At 38.7% G+C, this 16,648-nt stretch overlaps 1 protein-coding gene across 4 annotated transcripts in view; it reads left to right on the top strand.

Moving 5' to 3' along the window:
* GRK3 (G protein-coupled receptor kinase 3) overlaps positions 1-16,648 on the top strand; it is a 164,620-nt gene that overhangs the window by 17,104 nt on the left and 130,868 nt on the right. The window contains exon 1 of one of the 4 annotated variants that reach the window (XM_047441166.1): positions 12,497-12,734. The exons of the other annotated variants lie outside the window; for them this stretch is intronic. Coding sequence (XP_047297122.1) covers positions 12,727-12,734 — 8 coding nt within the window. The 5' untranslated portion in view covers positions 12,497-12,726. Of the gene's footprint in view, positions 1-12,496; positions 12,735-16,648 lie in introns of those variants that run through there. 4 annotated transcript variants of the gene reach the window in all.

Consider the following 16,648-nt stretch of genomic DNA (forward strand, 5'->3'; position numbering starts at 1 on the left):
AATCACGGCTCTGATGTTTAAATTTAGCAGAAAAAAAAAAAAGTAACCCATGCTCTTTAAGATAATCTACCCTCTAAGCATACTATCCATGCCTAATGAAACCTTGCAATGTAAGTCTCTCTTATTAAAATTATGTTAACAGCTTTCTATTTTTAAATTACTTGAATATTAATTTGTGAAAACATTTCAGAATAATCATTTTAAAATAAATAAGTGTTTCATGGCTGGGCGCGGTGGCCTGTAATCCCAGCACTTTGGGAGGCCGAGGCGGGTGGATCACCTGAGGTCAGGAGTTCGAGACCAGCCTGGCCGACATGGTGAATCCTCGTCGCTACTAAAAATACAAAAATTAGCCAGGCGTGGTGGTGGGCACCTGTAATCCCAGCTACTCAGGAGGCTGAGGCAGGAGAATCACTTAAACCCAGGTAGCGGAGGTTGCAGTGAGCCGAGATGAGATTGTGCCACTGCACTCCAGTCCAGGTGACAGAGCAATACCCTGTCTCAAAAAAAAAAAAGAGTGTGTTGCTCTAAACCGGGCCTCACTAAGTAATTACCAACAGGACCAGTGTGAAGAAAAAAAGTTTATTAAGAGAAAAATTTTAAAAAATCTGAGTAAATTGAGAGCTGTAACATATTTCTAGACAGGAAAACTCGACATTGTGAAGATGTCAGGTCTCCACAAATTAATCTGTAAATTCAAGACCAAAATTCAAATGAGAATCATTCCAAATGAGAATTTTAGAGAAACTCACAAGCCAGTGCTCATTCATCTGAAGAAAAAATGGGCAAAAATAACCAATATAATTTTGGAAAAGTAAAACAATGGAGATTTGCTCTAATATAAAACATTCCTCTAGCAACTAAAACAGTGTAAATATTCATGTATAGATGTGTACACATATCAGTTTGGTTTATGTTAAATACAGGTGGCATTTCGAGTGGAGGAGGAAGAGTGATGTGTGGTAGCTGTCTATCAAATAAAGCCATAATTCCTCCACATTATACACAAAAATAAATTCCAGGGTATTTAATGAGATAATAAAAAAGCTAAAAATACAAAAAAGGAATATATTCTTATTGTGGAGTACAGATACTCTGGGCTTTCCTAAGCAAACCCCAAACCTGGAAACCACAAAGGAGGAGATGAATGGATACGAGGACATGAATGAAAAGTTGGCATGTGACAGAGATCTCAGAATCCAAATTAAAAGACAGGAGGAAAAATTACATTGCATGACCTTCTGTGGAGCATGTTTTAGTTTGTAAGTCTATCTGCTTAGATAGCGCATACTTACTAAAATTCCTAACTGGCTCTTGTCCTAGGGAAGAGAGGGGGTAGGAGGCCTGAACTGTGTTTGGGTGTCCAGGAAGTAAGGCAATTTGTATCAAATGAGTCGCCTGTTTGCTAGTGGTAATTTCATCCGTTAGTCATTGGGAAGGAAGAGCTTGCTTTAAAAATGCCACAGAAAGATGGACGTTAATTTCATAGGTGGTAATTTAGGAATTCTTCTCACATGGCTACAAAAATAAGTCAGTCCAAAAGTGGAGGCTATTTGTGGCCTGGCGTTTTTCTGTGTACTTTTTTTTTTTTTTTTTCTTAGTTACTGTCATCCATTGTCTGTTCCATTAGGTTATTTGGGGCAGGCTAACAGGACTTACACAGTCCTTCCCCTTGGAAGGATCAGCCTTGCCCACGGTCCCTTAGATTCTGTCATTGAGCTGTAGTGACCTGGGTTCTGGGGCACCCTGCAGTCACACTGTTTAGACTGTCTGTGTCCTCTCCTGTCACCCCCTCTGGACATGGGCTCCTTGAAGGCAGGGGATGAGTGGGGTTCACTGTGTATTCTGAGGGTCAGACTCAGTGTCTGGCTCAGGGTAAGGATGCAGCACCTATCTTTTGAATGAGCGAATGGGTGAATGAACAGATGAGTTGTCTTTTCCTTTTCCTCCCAATGAGTCTATGTATTTAATAGCCTATATTAGACATAGCTAATATACCAAGTATTTGACTCGTTAGAGACAGCTGTGGCAAAGATTTGATTCTTCAAATGGTGCGAGATCAGAAATTCTTGAATTCATTTGAATGTGCAGAAATATTGTATAGGTTATAACATCATATTTCAACCCCAAATTTGGACAGATTTGGCACTATAGCTTTTATAAACTATGAAAAATAGTTTTCTCTAAACAATGCTACGGCAGCTTATGTGAGAAAAATACTAGAGAAAAGCTAATGATTTATTAATGAGTAAGGAAATATGCAAATATGAAACTAGAATCAACTGGGGGCAGAAGTAGGGAAGTGGGAGTAAATGCCTAAAATCTTTGGGAGTACTTTTTCTGGAAGACTTTGATTTGTTTTGAAAAGTGGCTTTGAAAGCTCTGCTTTAGCCATGTGGTGGTTCCCCCATTATCTGTGGTTTTGCTTTCAGCAGTTTCAGTTGTCTGGAGTCAATTGAGGCCTGAAAATGTTACATGGAAAATTCCAGAAATAGATAATTGCTAAGTTTTAACTTGCATGCCATTTTGACTAGAAAGATGAAATCTTGCACCATTCTGTCTGGAACGTGATTCCTTTGTTCAAGGAATCCTCAGTGTAGATGCTACTGCCCTGTGGGTCCCTTAGTACCTGGCTTAGGTATCAGATCCTTTGTAACCCTTATTTTATTGAATGATGGCCCCAAAGTGTGTGAGTAGCGATGCTGGCAGTTCAGATATGCCAAAGGGAAGCTGCAAAGTGCTGCCTCAGTGAAAAGGTGAACATTCTCAATGTAAGAGAACAGAATAAATCATATGCGGAGGTTTCTAAGAAGTAAGAATGTTCTATCCATGAAATTGTGAAGAGTATATTGTTATAATTGTTCTATTAGCAGTTATTGTTGATCCCTTACTGTGCCTAACTGATAAATTTAACTTTATCATAGATGTGTATGTATAGGAAAAAACAGTAAATATAGGATTCTTATACTATCTGCAGGTTCAGGTATCCACTGGCCTTGTATTTCTTTTTTTAGTCAAGATGATTTGAGAAACTTAGATACAGGGAAACCCTGTGCCCGGTCACTTGAATGGAAAGGCCGTCTTTATTAATGAAAACATGGCTTAAGCTGTTGTAACCAAGAGACCCCAAAATGAGATGGCCCCCACGTCCAGGCCACACCACAGACCATTTACATCAGACTCTCCCTGGAGAGGCCCAGTCACCAAGCTTTTTAGAATTCTTCCCAGGTAATCCTAAAGTCTAGGTAAAGTGGAGAACCACTGGCCTGGAGTTATTCAGAACTGACTAGGGAGGGGACTGGGTTTTGCAGCCCACAGCTTTCCCTCATCCTGGGCTTGTAGAACAGCTCTGCCTGCCTCGCTATAGGGCCTTCACCTCTCGGCCAAGCCTCGTGTTATGGGTGTTTCCCACTCAGGAGGAAGTGGGGTGCACAAGTTCCTTTTAAGGAAGTGAAGTGGAAGTAGCATGTTTCACTCACATTCCATTGGCGTGTGCTAGGACCTGTGACTATGTAACCGCAATAGAGGTTGGGAAATGTGATGTGAATCTGGTTGGCCATCTGCCCTGCTCATTTTTGAGGTGGGAAGGTTTCTGTTACTGATAGGTAGAATGTAATGGTTACCATGCTATCCATTAATTAAAACTATTTATTATCAATTACCAATTATCAATTCTAAAGCTGAACAGAGTTCAACTGACCTCATATATATGTCATGTGAGATAATTATACACATACACACACAGGCAAGCTATGAGCTAGATGCAAAGACTTGGGAGAGGCTTTAGTTTACGTTAATTACAAAGTTTTAAAGTTTACATTTACTAAGCTTTTAGTTTATATTAATCATAAAGTTGTTGCTCTTTGTTCCACTGTCATTTATGAGTTGTTTAGGAGTGGAAACACTGCTGTGGGTGACTTTTTCATTTGTTTGGGCTCCCTTGGTGCAAACTTAGAGGCAGAAAAGCGTTTTCAGCCAAAACGTATTCCAGTGATGTCAGTTGCAATCCTGGGTCATCACATAAAGGTTATAGCAACTTCAAGGGTGTAGAATCTGAAAAAAGTTAAGGTTAAATAGGAATATCATTTCTGGTAGGGCATGACATTTTCTAGAGCCCCCTTTTAATTATCTTGCTATATACACTCTTACTTGTAGAAACCATTCTTGAAGGGTTGGGGAAGGCTCCACGGTGTTGGTGGGTACAGATTTAGTATAAATGAATTAGTCTTACTCATCTTTCTATATTCTTGTGACCAGAATACTTCCAGACCCATAACAGATTCTTAGCAAATATTAACTGACATGAATATGCTTATATCATTGTGTAGTTTATTTAGAAAAATGATACTCTTTCACTCCTTTGTGGACATTTCACAGTGACATGTTGAGTCCTTTGGTATGCAACAGTGTTGAAGGTGGGGGATTGAGTACTAGAATGATTGCTGATGTCTCTTCAAGGGTGGTGGGAGACACAGGGACTTCTATCATTAACAGTTAGAAAGAGTGAATAAGACCTGCTGTGCAATAACACAACAGAGTGACTATAGTCAATAATAACTTAATTGTACATTTTAAAATAAAGAGTATAATTGGATAATTTGTAACTCAGAGGAGAAATGCTGGAGGGGTTGGATACTCCATTCTTCATGATGTGCTTATTTCACATTGCATGTCTATATCAAAACATTTCATGTCCCCGTAAATATATCTACCTACTGTGTACACACAAATGTTAAAAGATAAATTAAAAAAAATCATGACAGTCCATTGTGGGAAATGATATAGCAGTGATGTACAGCAAGCAGTAGGAACAGAGGTGGGAGGGCTCACCTCTGCAGAGTTGGGGAGGGCTGCATAGTCTTGGTGACCCCTGAACTGGGTCATGGAGGATGAGTAGGAGATTTTCATGTGAAAAGGAAAGGGCATTAGAGGGAATGGTATTTACAGAGTGATGGAGCTGTGGAAGAGCCTGTGTCTTTCATGAAAAATGAAAAAATCAAGTGTGGCTGCAGTGTGAGAAAGACAACAGCAAGACCTGGTTGAGGCAGCCTCCTTGAAAATGCTCCCTGCAGTACACTAAGGGGTTTGGACGTTGGGCAAAGCGAGAGGCCCTTGCAATCTTTTTTTTTTTTTGAGATGGAGTCTCATTCAGGCTGGAGTGCATGGCACGATCTCAGCTCACCACATCCTCCACCTCCCATGTTCAAGCAATTCTCCTGCCTCAGCCTCCTGAGTAGCTGGGATTACAGGTGCCTGCCACCACGCCCAGCTACAGCTAATTTTTGTGTTTTTAGTAGAGACAGGGTTTCACCATGTCAGCCAGGCTGGTCTGGAACTCCTGACCTCAGGTGATCCCCCTGCCTCAGCCTCCCAAAGTGCTAGGATTATAGGCGTGAGCCACCGTGCCCAGTGGCCCTTGCAGTCTTTTAAATGAGATGATTACATGGTCCGATTTATATTTTAGAAAAATTACTCTTGGAAACAAGGAGGCTGCAACCCTCCCTGCATGAGGCTTCCTGACCCTAGTCTCTGTCCTCTAATAATGCCACAGCCATAGAACATAGTCTCTTCTGTATTATTCCTGATTTAAAGGATTTTGATGAAAAGGTAAATGGATTCTGAAATGATTCTTACAACTAATTTATTTTATTTTTATTTTTTATTTTTTGAGGCAGAGTCTTGCTCTGTCACCCAGGCTGGAGTGCAGTGGCGCGATCTTGGCTCACTGCAATCTCTGCCTCCCAGGCTTAAGCAATCCTGCCACGTCAGCCTCCCAAGTAGCTGGGACCACAGACACGTACCACCATGCCTGGGTAATTTTTTTATAGTTTTGGTAGAGATGGGTGATGTGGTTTGGCTGTATCCCCACCCAAATCTCATCTTGAATTGCACTCCCATAATTCCCACCTGTGGTGGGAGGGACCTGGTGGGAAATAATTGAATCACGGGGCAGTTTCTCCCACACTGTTCTCGTGGCAGTGAGTAAGTCTCACGAGATCTGATGGTTTGATAAGGGGAAACCCGTTTCGCTTGGTTCTCATTCTCTCTTTTGCCTGCTGCTATGTAAGACGTACCCTTTGCCTTCCACCATGATTGTGAGGCCTCCCCAGCCACATGGAACTATAAGTCCAATTAAACCCTGTTTCCTGGATACATTACCCAGTCTCGGGTATGTCTTTACCAGCAGTGTGAAAATGGACTAATACAATGGAGTTTCACCATGTTGCCCAGGCTGGTCTCAAACTCCTGAGCTGAAGCGATCCACCTGCCTCGGCCCCTCAAAGCGCTGGGATTACAGGTGTGAGCCACCACGCCCTGCCTGTTGTAACTAATTTAAAGGGATAGTTTCAAGTATAAAGGTTCAGTCTCTTTGATTAGGTAAACCGAGGACACCATAAATTTATTTGTCATTCAGCTGGTGTCTGTTTGGGGATGATTTTTGTATCTGATGACTGTGGGCCAGTGAAATTCAAGTATATTTATTGTCACCTTAATATCTAGTTATATTGCAAAGAAAAAGGCATTAAAACAGAATGTGGATTATCAAAATATTATAGGAAAAGCACAAAATAAATTTGTAGTTAGCCTAATTGGGTTGTTATCTGAACATAGATTGTCCTGTGCTGAATTGTTTAGTACTATGCAAATTATATGAGACTTTCCTGTAAAAGACATAAGAAACTGAGGAAACTCAAAGAGTTGACATTAAACTATTTAAGATTCTTTTACAGACTACATCAGAATCCTGGTGGAGTTTAGTGGTTTTAAATCTAGTGGTCAAGTCTTTATTGTGACTTTGGATAACAGAGCTCTGTTTTGCGTGCTTGATGAGTGGTTTGTGGAAAATACTTAGTAACTACATATAAGGAAAGTAGTTTCATTTTGGGGGAACAGAATCTTGATATGATTGTGTGGTCATTAAAAAGAATCTTTTGGTTTTCTTGAGGGTCAGTAATGGTAACAATTCTCATTTGTGTGCTGCTTATAGTTCATTAATTTTTTTTTTTTTTTTTTGAGACAAGGTTTGTCGCCCAGGCTGGAGTACAGTGGTAAGATCATAGCTCACTGCAGCCTCAAACCCCTGGGCTCAAGTAATTCTCCTACCTCAGCCTCCTGAGTAACTGAGACTACAGGTTCATGCCACCATCTTGGCTAGCTTTTTAATTTGTTTTTGTAGAGAGGGGTTCTCGCTATGTTGCCCAGGCAGTTCTCGAACTCCTGGCCTGAAGTGATGCTTCTGCCTCAGCCTCCCGAAGAGCTGAGATTATAGAGCCACCAAGCCCACTCACTGCTTATAGTTTAGAAAACACTGTTTTACAAACTTGTTCAACCTTTATGACTACCTTATTATGTGCTACTAGTTTTTCTAGGCAATATGTTACCTATTAATTAAAATATTTGCTTAAATGCATTTTATTTTGGACATTAGAATAAAACATAATTAAACCTCAGATAGAATATGTAGGATTTTAATAATGTGAGGTTATCTAGCAGTGTCCTAAACATTGTAGTTTCTCTACCAGTAAGGTGTTGACGTACAACCTAGCCCACCTATTCTTGGCCCGTAGGGAGCAGATATCTGGTGTCTGGTCTTTCAACCACTTTCGTAGTAGAAAATAAATTAAAATTATAATACAATATTTATTATACTTACCATGGATTTAAGTAGCAGTAGGCCATGACAGGTAGGGCTGGTATATTTCCAGCCAGTTGGTATTAAATTAACACAAGTCATTATGCCTCCAAGCAGTATACAGTGTATGATATACATAACTCTTATTTTGGTGAGGAGGAGTATAAAAGTAATAACCCTGGACTCTGGAGGCCGGAATTTGATGCTTTAAAACTTTGTATAATGAAAATTTTAAACATTTACAGAACGAGAGAATAGGAGTATGAAATTGATACAGCCATCACTCGGCTTTCTCAGTTATTAATACTGTATTAGTCTGTTCTCACACTGCTAATAAAGACATACCTGAGACTGGATAATTTATAAAGGAAAGAGGTTTGATGGACTCACAGTTCCACATGGCTGGGGAGGCCTCACAATCATGGTGGAAGGTGAAGGAGGAGCAAAGGCATGTCTTACATGGCAGCAGGCAAGAGAGTGTGTGCAGGGGAACTCCCCTTTATAAAACCATCAGATCTCGTGAGACTAATTCACTATCATGAAAACAGCATGGGAAAGATCCGGCTCCATGATTCAATGACCTCCCACTGGGTCCCTCCCTCAACTCGTGGGAATTATGGGAGCTAGAATTCAAGATGAGATTTGGATGGGGACACAGCCAAACCATATCAAATACATAGCTAATTTTGTTTTATCTATACCTCCTATTTCCCTTAGATTATTTTGAAGCATGTCTAGAGATCATATATATAATTTCATCTTTAAATATTTCTATATGCATTCCTGAAAGATAAAAACTCTTTCAGAATACAAAAGTGAAAGTGGAATACAATGCCACTGCGAAAAAAATGTTCCCTTAATATTATCAAATAGTCAATGCACATTCTCATTTCTCTATTTTTTTTTTTAAAGAATACTGTTTTACTTGAATTGAGTTTTTAATAAGGTCCATACATTATGCCTGATTGTTATTTCTTTTGATTCTTTTTTGACCTATACATTCCTCTTCTATCATTATTTTCTCTTGAGACTTTTTGTTAAAGATATCAGGTCATTTTGTTGTGTAGTTTCCCCACACTCAGGGTTTTACTTACTGCATCCTAATGGTGCAATTAAAACAAACAAACAGGCCGGGCGCGGTGGCTCATGCCTGTAATCCTAGCATTTTGGAAGGCTGAGGCGGATGGATCATAAGGTCAAGAGATCGAGACTCTCCTGGCCAACATGTTGAAACCTTATCTCTACTAAAAATACAAAAAATTAGCCAGGCATGGTGGTGGGCACCCACAGTCCCAGCTACTCGAGAGGCTGAGGGAGGAGTATCACTTGAACTTGGGAGGTGGAGGTTGCGCCACTGCACTCCAGCCTAGCGACAGAGCGATACTGCGTCTCAAAACAATAAAACAAAAAACAAACAAACAAATAGCATTATTGAGGTATAATTAACCTAAGATAAACAACATATTACAAGTGCACAGTTTGGTGAGTTTATCTACATTGGCAAAACCATTACCCAAATTCAGATAATGAACGTCTCAATTGTCTTACCAGCTGGGCGTTCTACAATTCAATTTGATTTTGACACCACCTTAAGTTAGCAGAGACCCCCTCCCCACTGCTAGGTTAAGGGCTCATTCCCACAAGACTGCCCCAATTCAGATGCCAGCTAGGAATGGGGTTCCCAGTCTCCCATACTTCTGCCTGGCTGACCACAAATTCACGGGCTCCCATGACCATCCTCTCCGGTGTGCTGTGTCACTAGAACAACTCACAGAACTCAGGAAAATGCTATCCTTATGATTAGTTTTATTATGAAAGATGCAACTCAGGAATAGCAAAATGGAAGAGGTACATGGTGCAGGGTCTTGCAGGGAGGGGTAGAGAGCAGAGCTTCTGTGCCCTCTCTGAGTGCACCACCTTCCCATCTCATGATGTGTTCACCTGGAAGCTCTCCAAACTCTTCAAGAGTTTTTAAGCAAAGTAGGCTTGATTGCAGAAAGCTTTGGGTGTTGGTGACAGAACTCAATCCCCAGCCTCCCTGAGGTCAGGGGATAAGGGTGAAAGTCTTAACCCTCTAGTCACACTTTTGCTTCCTCTGGCAACAAGCCCCCATATTGAACTATCTAGAAGCCCACCAAGAGTCAGCTCATTAGCATAAACTCAGGTATGGTTGAAAAGGGCTCCTTAGGAATAAAAGACACTCCTATCAGGAAATTTCAAGCGTTTTTGGAGCTCTGTGTCAGGAACCAGAGACAAAAACTAAATATATTTTTTATTATACCACATGCACCATCCTTAAAAGTTTGCTCCTGCCTCTTTGTAATCAAACGTTGTGTACTTTTTTGGGGGGTCTGGCTTCTTTAAATCAGCAGTTATTCTGAGATCCATCTGGGTTTTTAAATGTATTCATAGTTCATTCATTTTATTGCTGAGTACTGTTTCATTATAGTGATATGCATATTTACTTACCCATTGTGGCTATTGTGTTGCTTCCAGCTTTTGACCATCACAGATAAAGCTGCTGAGAATATCCATGTATAAATATTTGTATGGATATATGCTTTCATTTCTCTCAGGTAAAATACCTAAAAATGGAATGGATTTATCAAATGGTAGGTGTAGTTTAACTTTACTCTCTAAGAAGCTGCCAAAGTGTTTTCCAAAGTGTGTGCTTCATTTGACATTCCCACTAGCAGTGTATGAGAATTCCAGTTACTCCATATCCCTCCCAACATTTAGTATGGTCTTTTGTAATTGTAGCCACTCTAATAGGTATGTAGTGGAATCTTCTTGTGATTTTAATTCGCCTTTTCCTAATGACTAATGATGTTGAACAACTTTTCATATGCTTATTTGCCACCCACATATCTTCTTTGAAGTGTCTATTCAAATCATTTGCCCATTTTTTATTAGGTTATTTTCTTATTCTTGAGCTTTAAAGCGTCTTTATTTATGTTGGGTACAGATCTTCAATTGGATAGATGGTTTGCCAGTGTTTTCTCTCGGCATGTGGCTTGTCTTTTCATCCTCTTAAGTGTCTTTTCAGGAGCAGCAGTTTTTAATTTTGACGAAATTAATTTATCAGTTTTTCTCTTATTATTCATGTTTTTGCTCTCATGTCTAAAGTCTTTGCTTGAACTAGTCACAAAGTTTTTTTTTATATTTTCTTTGAGAACTTTTATAGTTTTAGGCTTTATATTTAGACCTATGGTCAATCTTGAATTACTTTTTAGAAACAATAATTGCAGCTTTAATTTTAGATTTAAGGGGTACATGTGCAGGTTTGTTATGTGGGTGTATTGTGTGATGATGAGGTTTGGGGTATGACTGATCCCATTGCCTAGTTAGTGAGCACAGTATCCAGTAGTGTTTCAACCCTTGCTCCCTTCCCTCCCTCCCCCGCCATTCATCCCTGGTATCCAAATCCAGCAGCACATCAAAAAGGTTATGTCCATGAGTACCCAGTGTTTAGCTCCCACTTATAAGTAAGAACATGTGGTATTTGGTTTTCTGTTCCTGTGTTAATTTGCTTAGGATAATCACCTACCGCTGCATTCACATTGCTGCAAAGGACATGATTTCATTCTTTTTAATGGCAATATAGTATCCCATGGTGTATATGTACCACATTTTCTTTATCCAGTCCACCATTGATGGGCATGTAGGTTGATTCCTTGTCTTTGTTATTAATGAATAGTGCTGTGATGAACATATGAGTGCATGTGGTTTTTTTTTTTTCTTTTGGTAGAACGATTTATTTTCTTTTGGAAAGAAAATAAATATATTCAGTAATAGGATTGCTGGGTTGAATGGTACTTCTTTGTTAAGTTTTTTGGGAAATCTCCAAACAGCTTTTCACAGTGGCTGAATTAATTTACATTCCCACCAGCAGTGTATAGGCATTCCCATTTCTCCGAAGACTTGCCAGCATCTGTTTCTTTCTTTTCTTTTCTTTTCTTTCTTTCTTTTTTTAAATAATAGCCATTTGCCTGGAGTGAGATGGTATCTCATGGTGGTTTTGATTTACGTTTCTGTGATGATTAGTGATTTTGAGCATTTTTTCATATGTTTGTTGGTTGCTTGTATGTCTTCTTTTGAGAAGTGTCTGTTCATGTCTTTTGCCCATTTTTTAATGTAATTATTTGTTTTTTGTTGTTAAGTTCCTTATAGAATCTGGATATTAGACCTTTGTCAGATGCATAGTTTGTAAATATTTTCTCTCATTCTGTAGGGTGTCTGTTTACTCTGTTGATAGTTTCTTTTGCTGTGCAAAAGCACTTTAGATTAATTGGGCCCTACTTGTCAATTTTTGTTTTCTTTGCAGTTGCTTTTGAGGACTTTTTTTTGCATTTTTTGAGGACTTTTTTGTATATGGTAAAAGGTAGGGATCCAGTTTCAATCTTCTGCATATGGCTAGCCAGCTATCCCAGCACCATTTATTGAGTAGGGAGTCCTTTCTCTCTTATTTTTGTTGACTTTGTCAAAGATCAGATAGCTAAAGCTGCATGTGGCTTTATTTTTGGGTTCTCTCTTCTATTCCACTGGTCTGTGTGTCTGTTTCTGTATCAGCACTATGCTGTTTTGGTTACTGTAGCCTTATGGTATAGTTTGAAGTTGGGTAATATGATCCTCTAGCTTTGTTCTTTTTTCTTAAGATTACTTTGGCTATTTGGGCTCTTTTTTTATTCCATATTAATCTTAGAATAGTTTTTACCCATCCTGTGAAAAATGACATTGGTAGTTTGATAGCAATAGCATTGAATCTGTAGATTGTTTTGGGCAGCATGGCCATTTTTACAATATTGATTCTTCCAATCTATGAGCATGGAACGTTCTTCCATTTGTGTGTATGTATCATCTATGATTTCTTTCATTGGTGTTTTGTAGTTCTACTGGTAGAAAAAAGTCAAGGAGGAGGGACTCCTCCCTAACTCATTCTGCAAAGCCAGTATTACCCTGATGCCAAAACCTGGCAAAGACACAGTGAAAAAAGAAAACTACAGGCCAACATCCCTGATGAACACAGAGGCAAAAATCCTCAACAAAATACTAGCAAACCAAATCCAGCAGCACATCAAAGAGGTTAATTCATCATGATCAGGTAGGCTTCATTCCTGGGAGGCAAGGTTGGTTCAACATATGCAAACCAATAAATGTGATTTACCACATAAAAAAATTAAAAACTGGCCCGGTGCAGTGGCTCACGCTTGTAATCCCAGCACTTTGGGAGGCTGAAGCAGGTGGATCACGAGGTCAGGAGATCGAGACCATCCTGGCTAACATGGTGAAACCCTGTCTCTACTGAAAATACAAAAAATTAGCCGGGCGTGGCGGTGGGCACCTGTAGTCCCAGGTACTCGGGAGGCTGAGGCAGGAGAATGGCGTGAACCCAGGAGGCAGAGCTTGCAAGTGAGCTGAGATCGCGCCACTGCACTCCAGCCTGGGCAACAGAGCGAAACTCCATCTCAAAAATAAATAAATAAATAAAATAAATAAATAAAAACAAAACCATATGATCATCTCAATAGACGTGGAAAAAGCTTTCAATAAAATCCAGTACGCTTCATGTTAAAAATCCTGAACAAACTAGATATTGAAGGGACATACCTCAAAATAATAACAGCTATCTATGACAAACCTAAATACAATATCATATTGAATGAGCAAAAGCTGGAAGCATTCCCCTTGAGAACTGGAACAGACAAGGATTCTCATTCTTGCCACTCTTATTCAACATAGTACTGGAGCAGTCAGGCAAGAGAAAAAATAGAAGGCATCCAAATTGGAAAAGAAGGAGTCAAACTGTCTTTCTTTGCCGATGATAATGATTCTATACCGAGAAAACCCTAAAGACTCTGCCAAAGACTCCAGGAATTGATAAACGACTTCAGGAAGTTTCAGGATACAAAATCAATGTACAGAAATCAGTAGCATTTCTATACACCAATAACGTTCAAGCTGAGAGCCAAATTAAAATGCAGTCCCATTTACAGTAGCTGCACACCCACAAAATACTTAGGAATACATCAAATTACTTTTTGTGTGTAGTATTAGACAACCAGCCACATTCTTTGAGCTAAAAATAAAAACATGCAAGATATTAAAAATACAAATAGGGACTGAATAGTACAGTGAAGAAAATTACAAGTAGAACATAAGGGAATAGTCAAGAATTGTAGGAAAAAATAAAAATATAAGTACAGACTAGATTTCTCATGTTTAGGAAATTAGACTTTTTAAATAAATAAAAAATTGCCAGGCATGGTGGCTTGCACCAATAATTCCAGCCACTTGGGAGGCTGAGGTGGGAGGATCTCTTGAGGCCAAGAATTTAAGACCAGTCTGGGCAACATAGTGAGACTCTGTCTCCAAAAAAAAAAATAATAATTACTGGGTGTGGTGGTGTGCACTTACAGTTTCTGCTACTCAGGAGGCTGAGGTGGGAGGATGGCTTGAGCTCAGGAGTTTGAGGCCGCAGTGAGCTATGATCACACCACTGTACTCCAGCCTGGATGACAGAGCGAGACCCGCTTTGTATGTATGTGTGTATATGTAATACACATGTATACGTGTATATATATGTATAAAATGTTCTACTTCAAGGAAGATGATTACATGAAGGTATATAAGAACCACCACCACCAACCACCCTCTACAAGAAGGGAAGAGTAAAAATCATATCATGGTAGGAATTGTATGGAAAAACTGGAAAGTCAGAATGGAATAGGTAGTACATTGCTAAATTTGTTGATTGTTTTAGAATGCTTCTGGAACACTTCTTCAAGAGTATTCATGGGGAAAAATGAGAGTCGTGGGTAGGTAGGTGAAAAACCAGTTGTCATTCATGAAATGTTGGATGAATCAAATAAATGAGGGCTTTTAATTTACTAAAGAAAAAGATTGCTGTTCTTCAAAAAGAAGTAATGTGATCTATGAATAGAGTTTAGACTCAATTGAACTATTCTGCTTCAATCAAGAAAATATTTGACAATATGAAAAGTGAGAGATGAAGAACATTTTAATATCTAGTTTTTACTTTTATATTACTTGCATTTTAAACATCTATTTGAAAATGTTAATAAATTAGCAATTTCAAAAAAATTTAAAATTATCATTTGATTTATTCCCTCAGAACTTTGAGACAGGAGAGTACTATGAGTGACTTCTCATAGCTAGGTATAATTAAATGCAGGGGCAAGCAACTGGCTATTCTATGCACTGTTACAATTAGTGATAGGCCATCCCTGGCAGAGTCTTAGCATGTCTTGTAACTTGTTTGAAAAATAAACCCTTCCTCTTCATTCATATCTTTATTGAGACTCATAATTTACTTGATACTTACCATGGCTCAAGTGCTGGACTTATATTCACAGAATTTAACTAATCATGGCACTTGATTCATGATACTCTCTCATTATTAATTTATGCATGGCCTTCTTTATTTTGTAGGCATTGAATCATTCATTAATTCATTTTAAATAATATTATAAGCACTTATAGTACCAGCATGAGAACAAGGATACTGAGAATAATTTCCTTCTACTGTGAGTTCCTTCCCCATTCCATCTCCTGGCCTTGTGTTTCCTTTCCTCCTTCTCCCTGTAGGCAGCCACTCATTATGAATTACACATTACACACTTCCCTGCCTTTCAGAAATGTATGGTTTTATTACATACATGTATTTCTATAGATTATATTTTTAGTTTTGGATTTATAATTAGGGTCTCATGCTCTGTGTCTGAAAGTTGTGGGACAATATCAAATGTTCTAACATGTGAGTAAGTGAAATATCAGAAAGAGAAGAGAAAGAGCCGACTAAAAAAATATGCAGAGAAAATGGCTGAGAATTTTCCAAAATCAGTGAAAGATAGAAAGTTGGGAAGGGTAGGAGAAAGGGTGGGGAAGGAAGAAATTTGTTAAAGGATATAAAATTACAGCTAGATAAGAGAAATACATTCTAATGTTCTATAGCACTGTAGGATTACTATAGTTAACAATAATACATAATTTCAAATAGCTGGAAGGAGAACATTGAATGTTCCCATCACAAAGAAATGACAAATGTTTGAGATAATGGGTATGCTAATTACCCTGATCTGATCACTATGCATCGTATGTATCAAAATATCACAGTGCGCCCCATGAATATGTACAATTATTATGTGTCAGTTAACAAAGTTAAAAAAATGTTCAGAGAACCCCAAGCAGGGTAAAGGTAGGGAGAGAAAGCATACCTCTAGATGCATTATAGTTAAACTACTGACCAACAATAAAGAGAAATTCTTAAAGAAGCTAGATAAAGAAAGGCAGCCGGATTAAAACAAAATGTATGTACAGAGGAATAAAGATAAAAATTATAGCACAATTCTTATATAACCTATGCACGCAGAAGACAGTGGAGTGACATCAAGTGCTGAGAGAAAACAAAACAAACCTGCCAACCTGGGATCCTATACCCAATAACAATATCTTTCAAAACTAAAGGCAAAACAAAGACTTTTTAGACAAACAAGAGCTGGGAAAATTCATTGCTAGTTAACCTGCACTACAAGAGATGGAGGAAGTGTGTTGGGCAGAAGGTGTATGGTACCAGGTGACATTTGGATCTCCACAAAGAAATATAGAGTACCTGCAGTAATGTAAAAGCCATCGAATGTAAAGACATTGCATGTCTAAAGCCAAAACAATGCAAATATATTATGAGATTTAGAACATGTAGGAATAAAGCATATGACAATAATAGCACAAATCATAGACAGGACATGGAAATGTAAAATGTTATTTAGAGGTAGACTATGGTAAGTAAAAATGTGTATTGTAAACCCTAGAGCAACCCCTAAGGAAAAAAAGAAAGAAAAGAGTTAAAATAATCTAGGAGGGGAGATAAAAATTGAATCATAAGAAGAAGGCAAGAAAAGAGGAAAACAGGAACAAAATACAGACAAAAGCAGGTTCAGTGTTATTAAGATGGCAGTTCTGGTCCTGGCTTGGTGGCTCACGCCTGTATCCCAGCAC

The sequence above is a fragment of the Homo sapiens genome, chromosome 22, assembly GCF_000001405.40.
Source record: "Homo sapiens chromosome 22, GRCh38.p14 Primary Assembly".
Classification (NCBI taxonomy): Eukaryota; Metazoa; Chordata; class Mammalia; order Primates; family Hominidae; genus Homo; species Homo sapiens.